Here is a 25,724-nt window from a genome sequence, read left to right as displayed (position 1 = left end):
TCTAATTTAATCCTTATAACAACTGCATAAAGTACAGACAACCCTCCATATCTGTGGGTTCTGCATCTGTAAATTCAACTAACCTCAGATCAAAAATATTTGGGGGAAAAAAATTGCACAAAGGTCCATAGAGCACAACTTGAATTTACCATGCACTGAGTACTACATTGAATCTACATGAATAAAATGATGTGCAAGCATTGGATCAAGTATTGTAAGTAATCTAGAGATGCTTTAAAGAATATGAGAGGATATGAGTAGGTTATATGCAAATACTATGCCATTTTATATAAGGGACTTGCACATTCACAGATTTTGGTATGAGGGGTGTCCTGGGACCAATCCCCAGGATGCCAAGGGTTGCCTATATGTATTAACACATTATTTCCATTGTACAGATGGGGAAATTGAAGAACAGAGAGGTTAAGTAACTTGGTCAAGTTGACGGGACTAATAAATAGTAAGTGGCTGAGTTGGGATTCAAACACAGGCTACTAAGTAGTAACCATGATGCCATGTTGCCTGTACGTATTTGTGGTATTAGTAAGTGGAACATTTACTGTATGCTCAGCACTCTATTATGGGGGATATAGACATGGACTTTTGCTGCCCACAAATTGCAATACAGTATTTTCTTTATCAGCAGTTTTCTTTCCATGGTTTCAGTTACCCATGATCAGCCATAGTCTGAAAATATTAAATTAAACATTTCAGAAATAATCCATAAGTTTTAAATTACATACCATTTTGAGCAGCATGAAGAAATTTCACATCGTCCGACTCTGTCCTGTGGGGATATGAATCACTCCTTTGTCCAGTGTATCCACACTGTATGTGCTACCTACCTGTGAGTTATTGACATTGTCTGCTCCTGACATCCAGCCATGGACACATCACAAGAAGAAGGGTGAGTATGGTATAATAGGATATTTTGAGAGAGAGAGACCTCATTTGCATAACCTTTCTTACAGTATATTGTTATAATTGTTCTATTTTGTTATTAGTTATAATTGTCAATCTCTTATTGTGCCTAATTTATAGATTAACCTTTATTATAGGTATGTATATATAGGAAAAAAACAGTATTTATAGGGCTTGATACTATCCTTGGTTTCGAGCATCCACTGGAGGTCTTGGAAAGTATCCCCTGAGGATAAGGCGGGAAGACTGTAAACAGTTGCTCAAAGGAGGGTAAAGTTCCAATGGACTGGAATAGACTGAAGGAGTGGTAGGCACCGCTGGTTGTTTATCTCATCTTCTACCATTTCCTCTTCCTTTCTAATAGCATGCCGGTTTTGTTTAGGAGAGCCATGTGCCCAGTAAGGGTGGCCACCCAATCAGGTTCTGGCCAGCAAGATGACAGAGGAAGTCCAGTGAGTGGGGCTTCCAGGAAAGCGATTATTTTCTTGGTACAAAGGCACAGACTCAGTTGGCATGCACCTTGGACCCTTTGCTCCTGCCCCTTCTCTTTGCCTGGGACCCAGACACAACACATAGAGTAGAGCAGCCATCTTACCACCATGAGGACTGAAGCCAGTCGCTGGGGTTGTCAGATAAGGATGTTAGAAGCAGCCTGGTCCTTGGTGATTTCCCTGAGCAGCTGTAAGAGTCCTGGGCTGTCTGCTTCTGGACTTCTTGGTGTGTGAGAAAACAAACCCCTATTTGGTTAAAATAATGTAGTTGAGCTTCTGTTACAAACAATTGAACAAAGTGTTACGTGTAAGCCTTCGTGGTGGAGAGAGTCTCTCTTTAGGGTTTAAAGGTGAGGAATATTCAGCTAGGCTGGGAGAAAGGAGAAGCTATTCCAGGTGTACAGTATGTCCTACCCAGTGGCAGGGAAGCAGAACCAGCACATGCATTCAGGGCAATGTCGAGAGCCAGCCACCCTGGGCAGAGTACAGTTAACTTAATTTTGTAATGCCTAAGGGAGAACAAGAAGGGTAAAGGAGCTGATGTATGAAACAGCATAGAAAGAAACAGCATAGAAAGGCCGGAGACTTGGTGAGAAGGTGAGAAACAAGCCTTGGGCCACATCACAGATTTTATTTTCATGTATTTATTTACTTTTTTTTTTTTTTTTTTTTTTTTTTGAGACAGAGTCTCGCTCTGTTGCCAGGTTGGAGTGCAGTGGCGCGATCTCAGCTCACTGCAATCTCTGCCTCCCGGGTTCAAGCGATTCTCCTGCCTCAGCCTCCAGAGTAGCTGGGACTACAGATGTGAACCACCATGCCCAGCTAATTTTTGTATTTTTAGTAGAGACGAGGTTTCACCATATTGACCAGGATTGTCTTAATCTCTTGACCTCATGATCTGCCTGCCTCAGCCTCCCAAAGTGCTGGGATTACAGGCGTGAACTACCGCCCTTGGCTTATTTATTTACTTTTATAGACAGCATCTCACTTTGTCACCCAGCCTGGAATATTGTGGTGCATTCTCAGCTCACTGTAACCTGGGCTCAGGCGATCTTCCTGCCTCAGTGTCCTGAGCAGCTAGGACTATAGGCGCATGCCACCATGCCTGGCTCACATTTTGGATTTTGGACTAAAGAGTTTAGTCCTTGCCCCAAGTAGAAACACATGCAGACATTTTATACATGTAACTAGATCTTCACACAGTCAGTGTACAAGTATTTCCAAACATTCCAGCCTGTGTCAGACATGGTTCTAGGCCCAGAGTGAAAGGTCAAGATTCTGTAAAATAATGTTAAGCTCAATTTTGGATCCCTAAACAACTATTTTATAGAAAGGGTTCCGTTATCATTTTAAAATGATAAAACGGAGTGTTTTGGGGGGCACTGGCTGGGTTCAAATCGTTCAAATCCTGGCTTTGTCACTTGTTCACTGAGTGGCCTTGGACGGGTTTCTTTACATCTTTGTGCCTCAATCTCCTCGACTGTATTATGAAGTAAATAAAAGTACTCTCCTCAGTTTAATCTTAAGGATTAAATGAGGCAGTACTGATTCAGTGTTTTTTGTCTAATTAACAGCAGATCTAGTTTTCCATTGTTCAGTCCCTAAATCATGGAGTATCCTTGAGACCTTTTTTCTCATCAGCAAATCCTGCTGAATCTAATTTCAAAATAGATCCAACATCCAATTGCTTTGTGCTACAGTGATTACCATATTGGTCATTCCTCCCAGGTATCCTCTTCAGAGCTGAGGTCCCTGTCCTCCACCTGCTGGGAATGTTGGCTGTCAAAGGCATACAGGTGTGTCCCTCATGGGGATTGCCTTGGCTGAGAACTGCCTTGCTCTCCCAAGGGGCAGCCCCCCACCAAAGCCTGGCCAATGTATGGATACGAACACCTGGCCACCTTGCCTGTGGTAGACAGAATGATAGCTTAATCCCCAGACCTGTGAATGTGTTAGGTTACATGGCAAGGGGAAGTAAGGTTGCTAACCAGTTGACGTTCTGATGTAGAGATTGTCCTGGATCATTTGGGTGGGCCCAATGTAATCACAAGCCTCCATGTAAATGAAAGAGGGAGGCAGGAGTCAGAGTCAGAGGAAGAGATGTGTTGATGTGATGGCAATTGCTGGGATTCAGTTGGCCTCTAAAAGGTGCAATGCAGGCAGCTTCTAAGCTTCTAACAGCAGGAAAAGGCAGGGAAACAGATCCTCCCTCTCAAGTCTCTAGCAGAATGCAGCTCTGCTGACACCTTACTAGTCCCATGAGACTCATTTCGGGCTCTTACAATTCTGTTATTTAGAATTGTAAAATAATACACTTCTGTTGTTTTAAGCCACCAAGCTTGTGGTAATTTGTTATAGCAGCCATGGAAAACTAACCTAATTTTGGACAACTCTGAAGGGCCATCCCAGCTCCAGGGCTCCCCATAGGATTGGCTGAGGCGTCAGATGCCACCATCTTTCAGGTCAGCTTCTCTCTCTGACCTATTATGCTTTCCTCAAGTCCTGACACAAGTATCTCCCAAGAGCACGCTCTATAACCCTGTGGATGTAATTGCTCATCTCAGAGTTAGTTTCCAAGGATCCAGATCTAAGACAATATCTTACCTGGGTTGTTATAATAGCCCCCTAAATGGTCTCCTTGTTTATATCCTTAACTCTGCAGTCTCTGCTCAACATGGGAGCTGCAAAGACTCTGTTAGAACATAAATTAGATCAAGACACTCCATAGCTTTCCTTTCCACTCAAAGTAAATGTCAAATTCCTTTTTTTTTTTTTTTTTAAGACAAGGTCTGGCTCTATCACCCTGGCTGGAGTGCAGTGGTGCAATTTCAGCTTACTCCAGCCTCCACTTCCCAGGCTCAATCCATCCTTCCTCTGCCTCCTGAGTAGCTGGGACTATAAGTGCGTGCCACCATGTCTGGCTAATTTTTTGTATTTTTGGTAGAGACAGGGTTTTGCCGTGTTGCCCAGGCTGATCTCAAACTCGTGAGCTCAAGTGATCCACCTGCCTCAGCCTCCCAAAGTGCTGAAATTACAGGTGTGAGCCACCACGCCTGGTCGAGGTCAGATTCCTTACAATGACATAAAAGACTTCATAATCTGCCCAACCACCCTGTCCTTACTTCTTCAGCCTCACCTCCTGTGACTCTGTCCCTTGTTCACTCCACTTCAGCTACACTGCATCCTTTTTGACCATGCCAGTAAAGCTCGGGCCCCAGGCCTTTTGCATTGACTCTTTGCTCATATGCCATCTTTTCCCTGAGGTTCCTGATCACTCTATTTGAATGGCAATTGTCCCTCATCCTACACCAGCACACCCTATCCCTGTTACCTGCATCGTTTTCTGTATGGGCCTGTAAAGGGGCAGCTTAACTTCAAAATGCATTTTAAAATTTTTTTTCCTTTCTCTTGGGTTTCAAGATGTAACCTTGAAGCAAACTGCAGAAGCCTTTTCCCTTAGCCTTAAAATAGACTCCCCATCCCTCCCTTTCTCACCGTATACACGCCCTTCACATTTATCTAACTATATGTTAGTATCTAACTAGGTGCCTACTTAGAAGTTCCAGGGACAAATCCTGAGAGAGACAGATCAAGCCTGGAGACCCAGCTGCAGAATTCCAGAGATTACCTCAAGGTGGCTAATCAACAACCTGGCCATTGTTGAGATGAACGCCAGCCCACACTCCAGGTGGACCGGGACCCAAGATAGCCACTGGAATAAAACTCAGTGCAATTCCTGCATCCCTTCCATATCAGGTCTTCCCTTTTTAAACGCTTGCCTTTCCACCTCAAAATTCAAACTGGTTGCTTTGGATAGGAATCCAGCCACTTCCCCTTAGCCAACTTTGGAAATAAAGTCAATTTTCCCCTACCATACCTCGCTCTTGTTAATTGGACTCTGCAAGCAGTGACTGAAACTGTGTTCAGTTACAGGCTTATAACTTTCCAATATACTATATAGTTTATTTACTTTGTTTATTATTTTTCTTCTCTCATTAGGCTATACGCTCTGTGAAGGCATGTATTTTTATTCACTTACTGCTCTAGCCCCAGTGTTTAGGACTGTGCCTGGCAAAGAGTGGCACTCACTAAAAACTTGCTGAATGAATAAGTGCAGTGCACTATTCTAAAGTATTTAGAACAGTGTCTGACACATAGTGAATGCTCAATAAGGGCTAGCTATTAATATTATTTTTGCCAGTGGAGAGGGGGTCATGAGATTCCTGGCATTGCAGAAGCTACTCATATATATATAGCATTTGATCCCGTGATCCTGCAAGAAGTGGAAGACAAATAATATGCACATGTTAATTAGGAGCTTAGTTTCCTTGTTTTTATGTGTGTGAACCAACCCCTGGGATGAGTTGAATTCCCTTTAGAACAGATGTAAAACCATAGATCTGAGTCTCTCACATGTACCTAGGAGGTGATGAAGGGCAGAGAGGAGACTGTGGGCTGGAGCTGTTTGGAACCACAATTTGGGCCCAGAGAATCCGAGCTCAGGGAAGTCTGATCTGGCCCCAGGTCAGGTCTGATTGATTTTAGGGTCACTTTGGGAAATGAGGAAAGTCCAGCAGTTATACTGCAACAGAAAGGCTGATGATAGTTTATGCTGATTCTGAACTTTTCTTTATTGGAAGAGCTGCCTTTTTAAAATGAGATATGTATAAAGAAAGAACCCAGAGAAATATGTATTTGTTTCTGGTTCCTGGCATAGAGCTCCTAAAGCTCTAGTAATTCTCTGAGTGATAAGAGCATCTTTGTTCTAATGAGGCAACTCTTGCTGGGCTCCTTTATAACTTTGGGATTGAGGTTGGTTGCCAGGAAGACCCAGTCTTGATGAGAAACTTGGAAAATTCAGTCCCATCCTCCAAGGGAGAGAAGCTAGGGCTTCAGTTAATAATCAATCATGCCGACATGATGAAACCTCCATAAAACCCCCTAAATACTTGGTGACCACATCAAGGTGCTGGGAGGGTGCCAGAGGAAACTCCACGCACCACCCCCACACCTCGACTTGTGCGTCTTTTCCATTTGGCTGTTTCTGAGTTTGGCTGTTTCTGAGTTTATAATAAACTGGTACTAATATGTAAAGTGTTTAACTAAGTTCTGTGAGCTGTTCTAGGAGGGGGTTGTGGGAACCCCTGATCTGTAGCTGGTGGGTCAGAAGCCCAGATGTCCTGGACTTGTGATTGGCATCTGAAGTCTGATGTGGAGACAGTTTTGTGGAACTGAGCCCTTTCACTTTTAGCATCTGACACCAACTCTGGCAGTTAGTGTCAGAATTGAATTGAATTGTACAACAGCCAGTTGTTGTCTGGAGAGTTGGAGAATTGGTTGGTGGGAGGAAAAATCTCATTTGGTGCCAGATGTGTTGTGAGAAAAGAAAAAAAAAAAAAACAGCTCATGAGCTCTGTCTTTTCTTGAACTGACTGTGCTGTTACCATGCAGTAATAGTTGAAGGTGAGATCCTTTCTTTTGGTATGTTTTAGGGAAAAAAGCCCAGAAACATACTTTAAAATTGGAAAGAGCAAGAGTATATGGATGTGTATGTGTAAGACATTCTGATTCCTAGGGGGATACGCAACCATCTTTATTATTATTATACATTTTTAGAGTCGAGGTCTTGCCATATTGCCCAGGCTGGCCTCAAACACCTGGACTCATGTGATTCTCCCACCTTAGCCTCCTGAATAGCTAGAACAATAGGCATGTACCACTGCACTCGGCCACAACAATTTTAAGAAAAAAATCTGGCCTGACAAGGTGGCTCATGCCTATAATTCCAGCATTCTGGGAAGTCAAAATGAAAGGATTACTTAGGCTAGGAGTTAAAGACAAGCCTGGGCAGCATAGTGAGACCTCATCTCTACAAAAAAATTAAAAAAATTAGCTGGGTGTGGTGGCATGTGTTCAGGAGGCTGAGGTGGGAGGATTGCTTGAGCCCAGGAGGTCAAATCTGCAGTGAGGCATGATGGCGCCACTGCACTCCAGCCTAAGTGACAGAGTGAGATCTTGTCTAAAAAAAAAAAAAAACTATCCTGCTTGATATAGATCTAGATTTGTAGTCATCATAGAATAACAACATGGCCAATTCTGCCATCTGTTGGTTGTATGAGCACTATGAATAATCAACTCTGTGTGTGAGACACTTGAAATCATTGAATGCTGGAATGAAAAACCATATAATGCATAAGCTGTCAGGGACAGGCGGGGTCAGTCCTGTTTCTCATGATCTTTTTGAAATAGATAGACACTTTATAACCTTTACTGCTTGTTCAATTCAAAAACAGACAACACATTGGAATGTCGTCGTGGCACTGAAGCTCAGCTCTTTTTTGATCCCTATTGTTGATGTTAGCACCTATTCAGATCCCTTTATAATGACACTGGAAATTACATATGTGAAAATATGTATACAGTTATTCCTGTAATCTTTTGTTAAAAAAGGTTAATTTCCAATTTTTAAATAATTCACTTTAAAGATATGGGATGGGGGCTCTTTCCTGAAATTTAGATAGTATTCAAATCATAGCATAGTGCCTGAGGACTTCCACATCTATTGCATACTGCTTGCTTAATGAAAGTTGAATTTCTAATGCCTTTAAAAATTAATGCTTTGGCTGGGCGCGGTGGCTCACGCCTGTAATCCAGAACTTTGGGAGGCTGAGGTGGGCGGATCACGAGGTCAAGAGATCATGACCATCCTGGCCAACATAGTGAAACACTGTCTCTACTAAAAATACAAAAATTAGCTGGGCGTGGTGGCGCATGCCTGTAGTTCCAGCTACTCGGGAGGCTGAGACAGGAGAATTGCTTGAACCCAGGAGGCGGAGGTTGCAGTGAGCTGAGATTGCGCCATTGCACTCTAGCCTGGTGACAGAGTGAGACTCTGTCTCAAAAAAAAAAAAGAAAAATTAATGCTTCTTAAAGAAGAAAATATCCTTCTACTCAGTGAGGAAAACATGATATATATGCTTATAGAGTATAACTTTTGGCTCTTGAATACTATACATTTTTCTTTGTCATACTTTTGTTAACTTATTACAGTATCTTGAAAACTTTTGAAATAGCACACGTTGCTCAAGTATGTTTTTCCATTTGGAAAGTCTTAGTGCTTTTTCTACTGCACTTTTACTTAGTGATTCATTTTCCATCTTGTCTCAGGACCCAAGATGAATTGAACCAAACATGCAACCGCCCGCCCCCATCTTTACTGTTTTTCATCCTATTTTTGGTGGGCCATTTTATAAATTTAATTTTGAATATTAGTCTAATCTTCTAGGGTGTGATAATCTTGTCCAGAATTGCCTGATCTTCCCACTCACTCTTGCAGCCCAGGGGCTAATCATCTCCCTACTCCATTGACCTAGAGTGATGATTGATATTTCTAGCCACCTCGGTCTCCACCTATATGATTTTTAAAAATCTAATTTGCTTCAGATAGCCTGTGTGACAGGGATCATTTCCACAACTTCAATTCTTTACTGAGGGAATAGTCAGTGAACAGATTGAAGCCCAATGCTATCACTTTGTGCCTTCCCAATTTCACTTCTGAGTCTGCGTCAAAACAACACACACTTGAACTTGTATTTTTTTAAAAAATCTGCTTTCGTGCTCATAATCTTTTTCAATCTCTTTTCCTGGTATCTAAAATATCTTAGCAACAACTCTCATCTCTGAGCAACCATCAGGGTATAGTTTCAAATACTACAGCAATCAAAGCATCCTACTTCATTACTTGCTGATTTTTTCCAGGCAATCTATATTTATTTTGTGAATATAACATCAATATAGAAGCACATGATTTACTACCCTTCTCTCTAGTCCTCAAGAAAACTCTTTCTGCGACAAGCAAATTTCCAAGACTCCGTGACTTTTTCATTTTTTTTTTTTTTTTGAGACGGAGTTTTGCTCTTGTGGCCCAGGCTGGAGTGCAATGGCGCGATCTTGGCTCACTGCAACTTCCACCTCCTGGGTTCAAGCAATTCTCCAGCCTCAGCCTCCTGAGTAGCTGGGATTACAGGTGTCTGCCGCCATGCCTGGCTAATTTTTTATTTTTAGTAGAGACAGGGTTTCACCACGTTGGCCAGGCTGATCTTGAACTCCTGACCTCAGGTGATCCACCAGCCTCAGCCTCCCAAAGTGCTGGGATTACAGGTGTAAGCCACCGTGCCCGGCCGACTCTGTGACTGTTAAAGAGCCTTTGTTTGCTGCTGATTGATTAAACTCAGTTATCATTTGAAAACTTCCCAAAGAGGCCAGACTATATTCTGATGAGAAAAATCACTATGATGATATACTAACATGAACTCTGTGAACCTCACCATTAGCCAGAGATTTAAAAATATTTTAAATTGAGGTATAATATATAAACAGCAAAGTGTACAAATCCTGTGTAAACTTGATGAATTTACACACACACACACACACACACCCATGTAGCCACTGCCTAGATCAAGATATATTTCCAACAGCTCAGAAGGCTTCTTTGTCTCTCTTATGTCTCTTCTCAATATCCCACTTCATGTAACCACAGACCTGACTTCTATAACCATAGATTTGTGTTGCCTGCTCTCTAACTTAATACTAAAAGGAAACATAATATATGTATAGTTTTGTGTCTGGCCTCCTTTCTTATCAGTATGTCAATGAGATTCATCCATGTTTGTACTTAACGTAGGGCTGCATTCTTTTTTATTACTGCCTTGTTCCACTGTTTCAATATTCCACAGTTTATTCATCTATTCTATTACCGGTGAACATTTGGGTTGTTTACAATTTTGGGCTATTGTAAATAAAACTATTTAGTCTGAGATTTTCACATATAAAAGAGCTATACACAAATTCTGCTGTTTGGACAATCCTTTATGTGATGTTAGACACAGAGTAGGAAATTAAATCAAGGCTGGGCGCAGTGGCTCATGCCTGTAATCCCAGAATTTTGGGAGGCCAAGGCAGACAGATCACGAGGTCAGGAGATTGAGACCATCCTGGCCAACAATCGTGTCTCTACTAAAAATACAAAAATTAGCTGGGTGTGGTGGCGTGTGCCTGTAATCCCAGCTACTCGGGAGGCTGAGGCAGAAGCATCACTTGAACCCGGGAGGTGGAGGTTCCAGTGACCCGAGATTGCACCACTGCACCCCAGCCTGGTGACGGGGCGAGACTCCGTCTCAAAAAAAAAAAAAAAAAAAAAAGTCTTCTGTGAATCAAAGGATACAACTTTTCTTGTGTGTATCAAAGGATACTTTAAAAGCAAAAATACAACCTACTAGGTGGGGGGAAATATTTGCAAAGCACATATCTGATAAAGTATTAATATCTGGAATATATGAAGAACACCTAAAACTCAAAAATATAACTAAAAACACATGAAAAAATGCTCACCATCACTGGTCATCAGAGAAATGCAAATCAAAACCACAATGAGATACCATATCACACCAGTTAGAATGGCAATCATTAAAAAGTCAGGAAACAACAAGTGCTGGAGAGGATGTGGGTAAATAGGAACACTTTTACACTGTTAGTGGGACTGTAAACTCGTTCAACCATTGTGGAAGTCAGTGTGGCGATTCCTCAGGGATCTAGAACTAGAAATACCATTTGACCCAGCCATCCCATTACTGGGTATATACCCAAAGGACTATAAATCATGCTGCTATAAAGACACATGCACACGTACGTTTATTGTGGCACTATTCACAATAGCAAAGACTTGGAACCAACCCAAATGTGCAACAATGATAGACTGGATTAAGAAAATGTGGCACATATACACCATGGAATACTATGCAGCCATAAAAAGTGATGAGTTCATGTCCTTTGTAGGGACATGGATGAAATTGGAAATCATCATTCTCAGTAAACTATCGCAAGAACAAAAAACCAAACACTGCATATTCTCACTCATAGGTGGGAATTGAACAATGAGAACACGTGGACACAGGAAGGGGAACATCACACTCCAGGGACTGTTGTGGGGTGGGGGGAGGGGGGAGGGATAGCATTAGGAGAGATACCTAATGCTAAATGATGAGTTAATGGGTGCAGCACACCAGCATGGCACATATATACGTATGTAACTAACCTGCACATTGTGCACATGTACCCTAAAACTTAAAGTATAATAATAATTAAAATAAAATAAATGGGCGAAAGACTTGAATAGAAATTTCTCCAAAGAAGATATACAAATGGTCCATAAACCCATAAAAAGATGTTTAGTATCATGAGTCATTAGGGAAATGCAAATCAAAATCACAATGAGTACCACCTTACACCAGCTAGCATGGCTATAATTAAAAGACAAAACAAGATGGAAAATAACAAGTGTTGGTGAGCATGTGTAGAAATTGGAATCTTGCACATTACTGGTGAGAATGTAAAGTGGTACAGACACTGTGGGAAACAATTTCACAATTTCTTAGAAGGTTAAACATAAAACTACCATAAGACCCAGTCGTTCTACTTCAGGTATATACCCAAAAGAATCAAAAGCAGAAATCTCTCTACAGAAATCTATCTATCATCTATCTATCTATCTATCTATCTATCTATCTATCTATCTACCTATCTATCTATCATCTATCTATCTATCTATCTATCATCTATCTATATCTATCTGAAACTTCAACAGAAATTTATCTATCAGAAATTTCAACAGAAATTTATTATCTATCATCTATCTATCTATCTATCTATCTATCATCTATCTATCTATCTATCATCTATCTATCTATCTATCTATCTTTTTAAATTTAGAGCTTGGAGAGGTAAAGAACAGATGTTTGCACACCAAATTTTATAGCAGCATTACTCACAAATGCCAAAAGGTATAAACAACCCAAGTGTCCATTAACAGATGAATGGATAAACAAAATGTGGTTTGTGTACACACACACACACACACACACACACACACACACACTAGTATTATTCAGCCATAAGAAGGAATACAATTTTGATATATGCTACAACATGGATGAAACTTGAAAGTGTGTTTGGGAAACAAGTCAGACACAGAAGAACGTATATTGTATGATTTCACGTATATGAAGTACCTAGAACAGGCAAATTCATAGAGACAGGAAGTGGAATAGTGGTTACCAGGGGTTGGGGGTAGGAGGATGGAGGAGTTATTATTTAATGTGTAGTTTTTGTGGGGCTGATGAAAAACTTTAAAGTTTAGATAGTGGTGATGGTTATACAACACTGTGGATGTATCTATTGCCACTTAACTGCACACTTAAGAGTGGCTAAAATGATAAATAGTATGCATATTTTTCCACAACAAAAGACCAACTATAGGTATAAAACAGTAGTTTTTCAGTATTCATTCATTCAACACATGCTTATTGGATGCTAGCTGAAAACAAGACCCTGTGTTAGGCACTGATGGAAAGAAAGATAAATCAGACATACTGTATTTGTTTCCTATTGCTGCTATAAAAAAGTACCAGAATCTTATGGGCTTAATACAACACAAATTTATTATCTTACAGTTCTATGGGTGAGAAGTTCAAAATGGGTCTCACTGGGCTAAAATAAAGATATGGCAGGGCTAGATTCCTTCTAGGGGCTCTGTGGGAGCATCTGTTTCCAGGCCTTTTCCAGCTTTGGGGGGCTGCCCCTGTTCCTTGGCTCATGGTCCCCCACCATCCTCATGGAGCAACAATTGCATCATTTCAACCCTGCTTCCATGATTGCATCTCCTCTGGCTCAGATTGTCCTGCCTTCTTTCATTTATAAGGACCCTTGTAATTACCTTGGGCCCTCCTAGATGATCTAGGATAATCTCTCCATCTCTACAGAAGATTAGCAACTTTCCTTTTATCTGCAGCTTTAATTCCTCCTTTCCACGTAACCTAACATATTCACAGATTCCAAGGATTAGGACATTGTTGTCTTTGGGGGCCATTACCCTGCTTACCACACAGATCTTTCTGATTTTGAAGATCAGTAGGAGAGATACGACAAAAGGTCATGAGTGGTGCTGCTGCTGTGCTCTGAGATTTCAGGGTGAGAAAGATTATTCCAGCTGAGAGAATCAAGACACTTTTCTCAGAGACTATATAGACTATATAGAAACCAGTCAAGAAAAATATACAAGGGTGCCCACTACATCAAGGACTTTCTGAATGGTTTGTGGCATATGTGAGCTACATGTCACATTCAGTGGCAGGCAGGATCATTAGAAAGCAGCAGATTAGCCGGGCATGGTGGCTCACGCCTGTAATCCTAGCACTTTGGGAGGTCAAGGCAGGCAGATCGCCTGACCTCAGGAGTTCGAGACCACCCTGGGCAACATGGTAAAACCCTGTCTCTACTAAAATACAAAAAATCAGCCGGGTGTGGTGGCACACACCTGTAGTCCCAGCTACTTGGGAGGCTGAGGCATGGAGAATCACTTGAGCCAAGGAGGCGGAGGTTGCAGTGAGCAGAGATCATGCCACTGCACTCCAGCTTGGGCTACAGAGTGATTGATACTTCATCTAAAAAAAAAAAGAAAGAAAGAAAGAAAGCAGCAGCAGATTAGTCAATGCCAGAGAGTGATCTACAGTGGCTGCACAGTGGCATAATTCCATGGGTCAGTTTAGGGACAGGACAGCCATGCTGTTGTTGCTTGACAGGCAAGGGTGCCAGGACCACTATTTCCCGGTATCATACACAGGAGAACCTTACATACATGGTACCCGCTGGCAAACCAGAAATCCAGAGAAATGTGAATTCTGGCACTAGCATTGAAAGTGTAATCTACCTACAAATGGCAGCCTGGCCTTGTGCTTCTCTTAAACATGAAGTGGTTACAATTCAGATTGCTTACCAGTGCTTGCATTTGTACTGCATTATCCAGCAGTGACCTCACCAGCATTTTCATGTAGACGGCTGCTGATAAACAGCAGTAAGATGTATCTTCCAATGTAAGTTTTTTGTATGACGCCTTGATATCCTGAATAGCACCAGAAAGCACTTTCATCCCACAGAAGATGGACTGGGAAATACTGCACTCCAGGTGCAGGAGCAGTGCATCTGCACCTCTAATCCATGGCATCGCGAAACAGCTCCACTAAGCATCCAAGACATCCAGCAGTGGCCACTACCATTTCCCTCCCCAACTGGCATGATTTGGTTTTGTCATCCATGTTAGTAATTGAATAAGTATGTGCTTAATAAATGTTTAATAAATGCATAAAATAGGAATAAACCAATAACTTCAAATATCTAAAATTCTTAACCTATGCCAACGTTGTGGTTCTGAGGGATCATACCTACCTGATTATATGCATTTCTTTGCAATAATGGCCTCATCATCTGCACACATCTTTGCTTAGCCAATTACATAGGTTTGCTCTCTGCCTATGTCAACTCTAACTAGAAAAACACAATTATGGATGTTAGAAAAAATCTTTTTAAGGGTGGTTTTATATGAACAACAAATATATTTCATTAGAATGTGGGCCTTGGTTAAAGGAAAACATTGCAGACCCATGCAAACCCTGCTTGTCTCTTATCTCTAAGGATCTATCTAAGCCACAGGTGGAGCTGGTTTCCTAGAGCCCAGGAGTATTTCTTTCTCTCCTTCCCTACTCAGTGACATCAAGAACTAATAAAACCTTTTTCAGTTGTGTGACTCCAGGTCCACAAGGCCCAAACTATTTCACTTAGTATTTTCCCTGAGAGAATGTCCAGGAAAATTTCTAGTAGACTTCTGGACATTGGTCAAAGATGTCACCCCAGACCCATGATTCCCTTATAAATGGTACACATTCAAGAATATGTAAAAGTCCTTAAGAAATTAGGTTACCCTATTTTTGGTAAGCCTTGCATAACATTTTCTGACTCTCTCTCTTCCTTCCTTCTTTCCATATATTTATTAATTCAACAAATACCATTGAGCATCTATGATATGCAAGTTGCTGATGAGGAACTGAGGATTCAGCTGAGAATATTAAGAAGGTCTTTGCCTCCATGGGGTTTACATTCCAGTGAGAAGGTCAGGTAATGAACAAGTAGACAAATTAATTACTTCAGCCTATAAGCACCAAGAAGATAGTACACAGAGTGCTGTGATAGAGAATAACACAGGGAAAGCATGTTATTTTCATGCACTGAAATACATACCTGGACAACTATCTGCAGGTGTGTGAATAACACTGAGCTAGTCTTTTGGGGGCAGCCCCAGAAGGAGAAAGCTTGGGTCAGTCTTCCCGGTGAAGGAGGAAAAAGAAAACTGAAAATGCCAGGGCAGTTTATCCTGTGAAGAATTCAGAGAGAAATGAGAATCTTTTAGGTTCTCTAAGGTCCATGAGGGCACGGACATCCGTCTTGCTCATCATGGAATGTCCAGTGCATAGCGCTGTGCTGGCACACAGAAAAAGTTCCCAAAGCAGTAACAGATGAAAAACCCAACAGATCCTGAAAAGCGTACATTAATGGAATTGCTTCTTTCTTTTGTCTTAGGTAGAAGAAAATCCCACAGTATTCTGAGTGATAAGTCTTGATGCCCAGAACCCTTTCCAAACATAGCAGACTGGGATGGCTCTGGGCATGCCCTTAGTAAGGCCCTTAGTAAGGAGTGGCAACAGGCTCAGGGACGCAAGCACAGTCTTCCTCACAGCGTCCTCCAGGAGGCCAAACCACCGGAGTATACTCTTTAGAAATATCAAGACACTGGTGCTGGCTGATTGCTGATTGGGTGTTTGAGAAAGGATTATCTCTTGGGTTCAGATTGCTGTTTACCAGAAGAAAATGAATACTCTTGATCCATTCCACAAAGGGTTCATTAGGAAAATACATTGCCCTATTATAGCATTTACTGTCTTGTAAATTATTTGTGCACACGTCAGTCTCTTACTCCAACAGACCATAAACTTCTTTTGTGGCAGCTTTAAAATATGATGGGCAGAAGAGATTAAGTCTTGTCTTGAAGCTGCATTTTCATAATAAGCATATGTCTTGAAATTATAGGTCTTAGATCAATAAAGACAACTTTTTTTTTTTTTTTAAGACAGGGTCTTGCTCTGTCACCCAGGCTGGAATGCAGTGGTGCAATCTTGGCTCACTACAGCCTCTGCCTCCCAGGTTCAAGCCATCCTCCCACCTCAGCTTCCAAAGTAGCTGGGACTTCAGGTGTGCACCAGCACACTAGGCTAGTTTTTATTTTTTTATAGAGGTGAAGTCTTACTATTCTGTGCAGGCTGGTCTCCAACTCCTGAGCTCAAGTGATCTTCCCACCTCGGCCTCCCAAAGTGCTGGAATTACAGGTGTGAGCCACCATGCCAGGCAGCATTTTAATTTTTTCGTTAAGATTTCTCACTTTTTGTTTGTTATTCTCATCCTCATCATGTTACCTGGGTGGCTTTGGGGTAACTGCTGAAGATTATGGTCAGGCTACCCGCCTCTCCAGATTACTCCCCCAAGGCGAATCTCCCCCTCTCCAACCCCTTTCTTGTTGATCTTTTAAATCCCCAATGTTTAGCACTGTAGCTTAGTGATTGTTGCATTGAGTATAAACACTAATAATAAAGAAATAATTTAAAAGGCACAGAATATAGGTGTTAATCTTATCTTCTAATACTTGTATTTTGAATGTACAACAAGCTGCAACAGGATAATCACGCTTAATTCAAAAATTCAATTTTTTTTTTTTTTTTTTTTTGAGACGGAGTCTCGCTCTTGTTGTCCAGGCTGGAGTGTAGTGGCGTGATCTCAGCTCACTGCAACCTCTGCCTCCAGGGTACAAGCGATTCTCGTGCCTCAGCCTCCTGAGCAGCTGGGACTACATGCACATACCACCATGGCCGGCTAATTTTTGTATTTTTAGTAGAGACGGAGTTTCACCATGTTGGCCAGGCTGGTCTCAAACTCCTGACCTCAAGTGATCCACACGCCTCAGCCTCCCAAAGTGCTGGAATTACAGGCGTGAGCCACCGTGCCTGGCCAAAAATTCATTTTATTTTATTTTTTTTGCCATGGAAAAACACTCTTGTTTATTTGATTAAACAAAAATAAAATAAGCTGCATAGGAACAATCTTCTCTCCCAAACGGGGTCTATGGCAGCTGCAGGGGAGACACTAGGGAGGCATATTGTCCTAGAATAGTGCATTTAAAATCCACTTCATTTGTGTGAACTGGAAAGATCTCTTAAAAGTGGGCTGCAGTCAGACATTTATAACTGCTGTTCCTGTCCTTCTTCTCCCAACCAAACTGCTTTGACCCCAAAGCCTCCAAAACCTTCTGTCGAGACAAGTGCAAGAGGTGGAGACTAAAGAGCCCCTGGAGATGAATAAACTGTCATTTCACCAGGACCACTGATGAAATCCCCATAAGCTTTCCTTCCCCAGGATACAGCATTAGAGAAAGGAACTGGGCTTAAATGATTATCGCTGGGCTGCTGCCAAGAGAGGAAATCATATTCCTGGCTTAATAAAAAAAAATAAAATGTAAGTTGAATCTAAATGAAATATAATTCAATTCCCTTTTTATCCAAGTGATTTAGATGGGCAAAGGATAGGGGCTCTGCTAAGAGCAAATTAAATGAATCCTCTGACACATCACAGTGGCTTTTAGGGCAGCACTGGGCGTGGGCTCTTGAACGGGGAGGTAAGGGCAGTCCCCAGCCCCTAAGGCACATATCAGAACACACAATGAGAGAGGGAGGTGAGGTGAGGTAAAGCCTTACCCTATTGATATTCCTGTCTGTTGTAAACAGTGAGGAGTCACAGAAGGTTCTTGAGTAAGGGTCTTGGACATGACCAAAGTAGAACTTAGGAAGCTAACCTCATCACATCTCAATAAATACTTGTCGGGTTAATGAATGAATGATTCAGAGTAATATCAAGACAAAGACATGAATCTGGCCACTTAGGAATATGGATTTCACTAACGCCCAGTGAAAAACGATCAGAAAGTGATATCAGATCAATATCATTATTAAAGTTTTAAGTTATTTATGGCTTTCTAATAGGTTCTTCTTAATGTAACAAAAGTGTTGAACAAATGTGACACGTGGAATGTGATAAAAACACAACTTGACTTTTGTTCTTATTGATCCTATAAAGTTTATTTTGTATGGTAATCTTTTCCTGCCTTGGATGAATACAGTTCACCCCAAGGTAATTTACAGTCTGTCCTGTGGTCATTTTAAGTCACAAACACAGCCCAATACACACATTAGAATACTGAGCCGTGGAAAAATCTAAAACCTTGAATTTTATTTAATGTTGAATTGTATCCCATTCTTGGGCAGCCCCAGTATGAGCTGGCTGCCTGCAGTGAGAGAGGAAGGCTTGATCCTTCATTTCTCCTTTCCTGCTCCTCTTCCTCATTAGGCTTGCCCCTAGGTTTGGGACATAAAGAGAGGAATCAAAAATAGTAGAAGGGAATTTTCTTACTCAGCTCTATCTGCCATAATTTGGCTTTGTGCTGAGTGTGGCTGACGTTTAAAGCTGATATTCTCTTGAGCACTCTTTTGGGGGGTACCCGCTCTGTGGGATCTCTGGAGCTGTGTTGATGCCCCTTCTGCTGACAGCTCCCCCCTTTAGAGGGTCCACCCACACACACTATGAAGTCCCATTGCCCCTTCTAGGAGGTCCTGTCTGATAGAGCCTAACACAGCCTCAGGATTGCTGGTCCTCTATCCTGTCCTGCATTGGGGTAACATGCCGTGTCCTTCCACGGCAGGGCCTTGGGGTTGCGGGAATTTCCCAGGTGTAGCAGCTACTTGCTTTGGCTTCATCATCCTCAACACAACTGGCCAGCTTCTCTCTTACTCTGCACATTTTCTGGGGCAGAAATCAGCCCTCAGCTCACGGTCTTTCAAACTTCAGGTGACACATATTAGACTCTCAGAATGGCCGTGTTGAAGGCCCTCAAAACCTGAGGGAGGTTCAGGTGTCCCCTCACCCCTTATTTCCTCTTGAGATACAGGACTTCAGGCTTACAGCAAAAACTTTTCCAAAAAATCCTTCTCACTAGAATCTTTCTTCTTTCTTCTTACTCTCCAAAAAATCTTTTCTATTCTTGAAGAGAGAAAGAAGCCCTTGGATAAATGACCTTAAAATTTGCAACCAAACCCAAACATCAGGGTTTGTTTTGTTTTAGATTACTCTTATGGTGTTCTGTCCCATGCGCACATTGGTACCTGAGAGCCACAATGTCAGTCCCTCTGGACTGACGCTTCTGAGGTGAGAAGCGTTCTATTTTAATATTAGGTTATGTTCACTTAACAAACCATGTAGGGCATTCAATAAAGTAGCTTCAATTCTTCTCAGTTAATATTCTTGCCCTTTTAAAGCCTGACGTTGAAAGTACTTCCAAAGTAACCAAACTGGTAAATATCATTTGGAGCCTTCACTGATTGTGACTGTTGCCTGATCACCAGGGGTAGTTATGCGTTGTGTAGGAGCTTACACAATTTGGCAGAGGCTTTCTTTAAGAAAAAGAACGCAAAGTTAGGAATAAAAAATTGGTTGTAGAAAATAGAAAAAATAAATAGAAAAAATAAAAAATAAAAAAAGAAATAAAAAATTAAAACAAAAACAAAGATAAAAAATTGGGTATGTAAACAACTATTTACTTGGAATGAGAAAAATCCACAAATTACAAATTTTAAAATGCCAATCCTTTTGTAGTTCATAAATGTGATGATTGGGTTCTCACATGTGAGGTGTGTGAGACGTGCTTCATTCAAACCCTGTTACAACATCCGCACATACCCTGTCTGTCATGAAAGAAAAAAAATTAAAAAAGAATAAAATGTTGACAAATATACCACAAACATCAAAAGTCCAGGACAAATTATGCAATTCTTTTATTAATGAATTACCTTATATATACCTTTATAATTCTTTTGAATTTTAATATAATCAATAATTCTGAATAAATACACAAAGCTACATGAAATTAAGGTATATAGAAGAGTAAGTAAAATAGATTTTAAACATCATTGCATTAAGCTACCTACTTGTCATTATTCTTATACTATGTACATGGACTTATTTTATAAATATGTGTGGTGATTTTATCATTGGAATGTTTCTTTAGGTTGTTGTGATTCATTGATGAATACTTTTTCATTCTCTTTTGTCTAAAGCTGCTCTTTGTCTTTAGGATGCGATGTGATCCAACATGTTGGGATGCATAAAATACATGACTAAACAAACAGGCACAGTCATTGTGAACCTGGCACTGGTCTGTGTCCTACAATCACAGGATTTCTGATAAATTCTATTTTGTGTGATTTACCTCAAAAAATAAAAAATATTGGGTTTATAATTGCATACACTGCTTATCATGTATATTCTCAACAGGACAGAACTTCCATTTTGATCAGGCGTCTTTGAGAATTAAATCCTCTGCTCAGACTTTTACATAACTGAAGATTGGCAGAATTTTCCACAGGCTAGCTTCTGGGTTCATACTTTTGAAAACTTTGTCTACGTGATTACCTACAGACTTCCAATGCCAAGTGCAATAGGTTACATTCAAATCACAATATGACCTCTAGCATTGCACCTGTCTGTCAGATATTGGCTGAGCAGCAAAGGAGCATTGGAAATATTGCTGGAAGCCATTCCTGCACCACGATAGCTAACAATAACTTAGATATGGAAGTGAACCACATAAAAATAATCTTCTTAACCCAAACTCTATGCCTTTTCAAGTCAGCTTCCCCTTAGCTGAATCCAATCACCCCTTGCCTCTTTAAGATCACCCTTGGCCAGGCGCAGTGGCTCATGCCTGTAATCCCAACACTTTGGAGGGCCAAGGAAGGCGGATCACCTGAGGTCAGAAGTTTGAGAACAGCGTGGCCAACATGGGGAAACCCCGTTTCTACTAAAAATATAATAACAAAAAAAATTAACTGGGTGTGGTGGTGCGTGCCTGTAATTCCAGCTACTTGGGAGGCTGAAGCAGGGGAATCACTTGAAACCCGGAGGCGGAGGTTGCCGTGAGCTGAGATCATGACACTGCATGCCAGCTTGGGTGACAGAGCGAGACTCCGTCTCCAAAACAAACAAACAAAAAGACCACCCTACAGAAGAGCAAGTGTAACAGAGGGTAAGCTGGAGAGGAAAGAGACAGAGGTCTTAACCGATTGTAGTTAACATAGCTCCCAAGTTTTACAAAAGCTTATGACTATGGGAACACATTTCTCGGGCCCCAAGCATGAAAAGGGCTCATGAAAGGGAGGGGTCCTAGAACTTCATTAACATCATAGTAATTTGCCTTGCCAACCAGGAATGAGCCCTGCTTGGATGGACCACCTGCTCACAGTGTATTTACATTTACAGAATTGGCACACTGGTGTGCTTGTGGGCAAATGCAGGTTAATATGTGTTACTGTCAGAGTTTAGCAGTTGGTCAACCTCCAACAGGAGTCAGCAACGGTGTAGAATTTCCCTGAGTTTTAAATGTATGTCTTAGCCCTAAAGGCCTTTGGAAAGTTATTGGTCTTATTAGTGAGTTCATATGCCATTGAAAGATGTTTGACTAGAAAATGACATTTTAGTAAACGGGTAAGGAAGAGACTTACGAAAAAAGGACCATGAAGACACTGGGAAAATTAAAGAGAGCCCAGTAAGATGTCTTATCAGTTTATGATTCTCTTTTGTACACTAGTAATTTATAAGGGAACAGTCACAGTTAGGAATGATTTCAGCTACATGTAACATAATAGTTAACTAATGGTGGCTTAAATAATAAAGATAATTAACTCTTAGAACAAAAAGTCTGAAGGTAGGTGACTGATAACTCTGTTATTTTAGGACTCTGTCACTATCTTTACGATTCTTAAGGTAAAAATATGATTGTCACAGCTCTGGGAATCATTTGTTCAAAGGCAGAAAACAGGAGGCAGCTAGATAGTGTGTGTCTATCTCTTTTCAGTAAAGAGGAGAAATCTTTCCTAAGCAATTACCTATCAGAATTGCTCTTTAAATCTCATTGGCCAAAACTGGGCACATGGGCACCCCTAGCTGCAAGGAGGAGTTGGGAAAGTGAATATCTGGCAAAAGGGTATGAGAGTTTGTTGATTGGCTTAGACTTGTCATGCTTTATCTTTCAGGACTGGGCACATAGCTGTCCTGAGAAAGAATATGGATTTTATTAGTAAGGAATAAAAGGGATATGGCTATTGGGTGGCAACAAATGGCAGATGCAACCAGAACCTTTGGGTTGAGTAAAACTATCTTTTTACTTAGCAATTATCAAACTAACATGAATTAAGAACACACATGAATACAAACAATAATTTCGTTAGCAAATATTCTGTGCTAGGAACTTGGTACTAGATGTTAGATATATATTATCTGCAATTTTCACAGCAGTCCTGCAAGATGAATATTCTCCCTGTTTTCAGAAAGATTAGGTTATATCCCAATTAGAGAAATAAGTAGCTCTATTCTGACTTCTATCATTGAAGTCTTGCCTTTCTTGAACTTCAAATCAATTAAATCATATAGGAGGTACTTTTTGGTTTCCAACTTCTCTTGCTCAATATTAGATTCTGGACTCATTCATGTTGTTAATGAATACCATGAATAACTTATTTTTTAGTGCTGTGTACTTATTGTTTGAAAAAAATCAAAATTTATTCATTTTACTGTAGATTGACATTTGGGTTGTTCCTAGTTTAGTGAAATGATTAAAGTAATTAAGATTATTATATGTGATATGATTAGATCATAAATTATATGATTATATAGCTATATGAGTAGGTGACTAATATATAAGTATATATCTTATTATATATTATATAACATATTATATTTACAGAACCGACCAAAATAAATCTGACAAAAAGTACTCCTTTTTGTTGGATTTGCAATTTGTTGGATTTATATACAAGAGTAAAATAAAGTATTTTTAGCTTTAGTAGATACTCTCTAAAAGATTTCCAAAGTAGTTGTACCAAGTTACACTCCCATCAGCAAATTATGAGAGATTTATTTGCCAATGGTTGGCTTTGTTATATATATTATTTTAGAAGGTAGTAAGGAATATGGTATGTGCTATGGAAAAGGAGAAGTTGGGCAAGATAAAGGGGATTGGAAGTACTGGGGGAAAGTAGAGCAGTTTGAAATTTTAAATATGTGGTCAGGATTGGCTTTTATTTATTTGTTTTTTTGACAGGGTCTTGCTCTGTTGCCCAGGCTGGAGTGCAGTGGCATGATCATGGCTCACACTGCAGCCTCAACCTCCCAGGCTCAAGCAGTCCTCCTGCCTCCCAAGTAGCTAGGACTATAGGTGTGTGCCACCGTCCTCTACGAAAAATATATTTTGTATTTTTTGTAGAGATGGGGTTTTGCCGTGTTGCCCAGGCTGGTCTGGAACTCCTGGGCCCAAGCTGTCTGCTGCCTTCACCTCTCAAAGTGCTGAGATTACAGGTATGAGCCGCCATGCCTGGCTGGCTTTTTTTTTTTTTTTTTTTTTTTGAAGGTGACAACTGAACAAAGTCATGAAAAAGTAAGCGAAAGAGCTATGCAGGTATGTGAGGAAAATATTCTAGGTAGAGGGAAAAGCCAACACAAAGGCTATTAATAAATTGCTGGTGCTTTCCAGCAAAAGCAATTGGTCATTGTGGAAGAAACAGAGTGAACAAGGGAGAAAGGTATGGGAAATAACATGAAGGGGGAAAAGAGCCAGATCATGTAGGGCCTCCAGGACATGGTGAGTGCTTTGGCTTTTACACCGAGTGAAATAGGGAGCTACAATAGGGGTTTGAGCAGATGAGTGACATAATCTGATTTACACTTAAAAAAATTCTGGTGGCTAGATTAAAAATAACTGTGGGCAGGAGCAGGGAGATGAATTAGTCTATTGCAGGAGGTGACAGTAGCTTTAACCAAAGTGGTGATAGTGGACGCTCCAGGCAAATAGGGTGTCAAAAGCCGAGGTGCAGAGATGGAAAGTTCAGTTCAAGGCCGGTATCAGAACTGTGAGCAAACCAGTTGTCTTTCTAACGGGGGAAGGAAAATGACAGCTGCCATTTATTGAACATTCACTATGTGGCAAGCATTGTGCTAAATTTGATACTCCGGCGACCTCTTTTAGTCTCCATGACAACCCTGTAAAGACATTTAGAATTTAGAACCTTTCATACAGTTCCATGACTAAAACGTAGCACACCTGGCATTCCAACCCTTCATTTCATTCTACTCTAGCACTAAAGCTAGAAGGGAAGCTTGAGGCCACATTGTGGAGTGCCAAGAGGTTTGAACTTTTGCCTGGTTTGAACTTTTACCTTCTTAATCTTTTCCCCGCATCCCCACATTTGAGGACAGGACACCTCCAGGAACTGCAGCTCAGCAACAGGGGTTCAGCGTGAGCGCGGCCTGGGGAGGGTCATCGCCTTTTTGGGGAGTGTGGGGAGAAACGCGGCTCGCCTTGTCGTGGCTGGCGATACGCCTCTGCAGGAAGGGTGTGTCTCCCCGCTTGAGGATTCTCCCTATAGATAAAGAGGAGACTCAGCAGAGCCTTAATTAGAGATCACAGAGGACTGACAACGAGCGTCCGGAAGACGAATTGGCAGCGAGGTGCATGGATTCGATACAGAAGCTGGAGATAGAGTCCAGCTAACAGACCACTGCAGTTCGACGGAGCCAGAGTGAGGCAACGAGGAGAGATGTCGGGGAAGGAAAGGGGATGGGACTTGGGGACTGGAGCGGCTCGAGAGCGACGGAGAAGGGGGCGTTAGGCTCTAAGGATTCTCTTACTGTGCCTCCTCCCCGTGTCCTCGGGTGGCGGCTGCGCAGCCCTCCAGCCCTCAGAGCTGCCCTGCAGCACCTTGGCCACTAGGAGGCAGGCCCGCCTTATCTGGAGCCCCGGCCGCCGCTCACTCCAGGGAGGGCTGCGCTGCTGCTTAAATTCCAAGTCAGGCCAGCCCCTGGAACGCTTAATGGGAGCTTAGATTTAGAACAGTTGATTTTCATTGAGACGGAAATTTGGACAGTCTCCCACTTGATTGAAAACGGCTAGAAACAAGGCTTACGGTAGAGCAATGAATGCCAGAGTGCAGGCGCCGGTGCCCAGGCGGCCCGGGGAACAGGAGGGCCGGAGGAGGAAACAGCTGCCTGCAAAACACCAGCAGCGCCCTTAATTAACACCAGTGCTGGCCAGGGGGATTGTGCTTCCGGAAATTCCCAACGTCCTTTCCCTGCTTGCCCAGGGCCATTCCATTATACAGTTTCAGACCAGTCCCAGGTCTGAAATGGAAAGAGATGTTACCCTAGATGCCCGGAGACAGCGGGGCCGCAGAGACCTCGCACAGCCGAATAGCAGTGGAGCAGGTGTGTGTGTGTGCA

At 41.5% G+C, this 25,724-nt stretch overlaps 1 long non-coding RNA gene and 1 other non-coding gene across 2 annotated transcripts, besides 1 other annotated feature; one reads left to right on the top strand and one right to left on the bottom strand.

Moving 5' to 3' along the window:
* Positions 1 to 59: 59 nt before the first annotated feature.
* On the bottom strand, positions 60 to 16,437 carry LOC107985744 (uncharacterized). The gene is made up of 3 exons (XR_001738140.2): positions 15,540 to 16,437; positions 1,517 to 1,658; positions 60 to 787 (listed from the first exon to the last, which is right to left on the bottom strand). It is a non-coding gene; the product is annotated as an uncharacterized LOC107985744 (long non-coding RNA).
* A 3,602-nt stretch (positions 16,438 to 20,039) lies between these two features.
* Positions 20,040 to 20,146, top strand: LOC124904833 (small nucleolar RNA U13). The gene has a single exon (XR_007067429.1). It is a non-coding gene; the product is annotated as a small nucleolar RNA U13 (small nucleolar RNA).
* Positions 25,124 to 25,624: an enhancer, noted in NCBI's record as "H3K4me1 hESC enhancer chr1:90228293-90228793 (GRCh37/hg19 assembly coordinates)". NCBI's record gives its function as "activates a minimal SCP1, AML or CMV promoter by ChIP-STARR-seq in primed H9 embryonic stem cells {active_cell/tissue: H9 hESC(primed)}" and the evidence as "EXISTENCE:reporter gene assay evidence [ECO:0000049][PMID:30033119]".

This window comes from Homo sapiens, chromosome 1 (genome assembly GCF_000001405.40).
Source record: "Homo sapiens chromosome 1, GRCh38.p14 Primary Assembly".
In the NCBI taxonomy this organism is placed as follows: Eukaryota; Metazoa; Chordata; class Mammalia; order Primates; family Hominidae; genus Homo; species Homo sapiens.
This window is presented reverse-complemented; position numbering and strand designations above follow the sequence as displayed.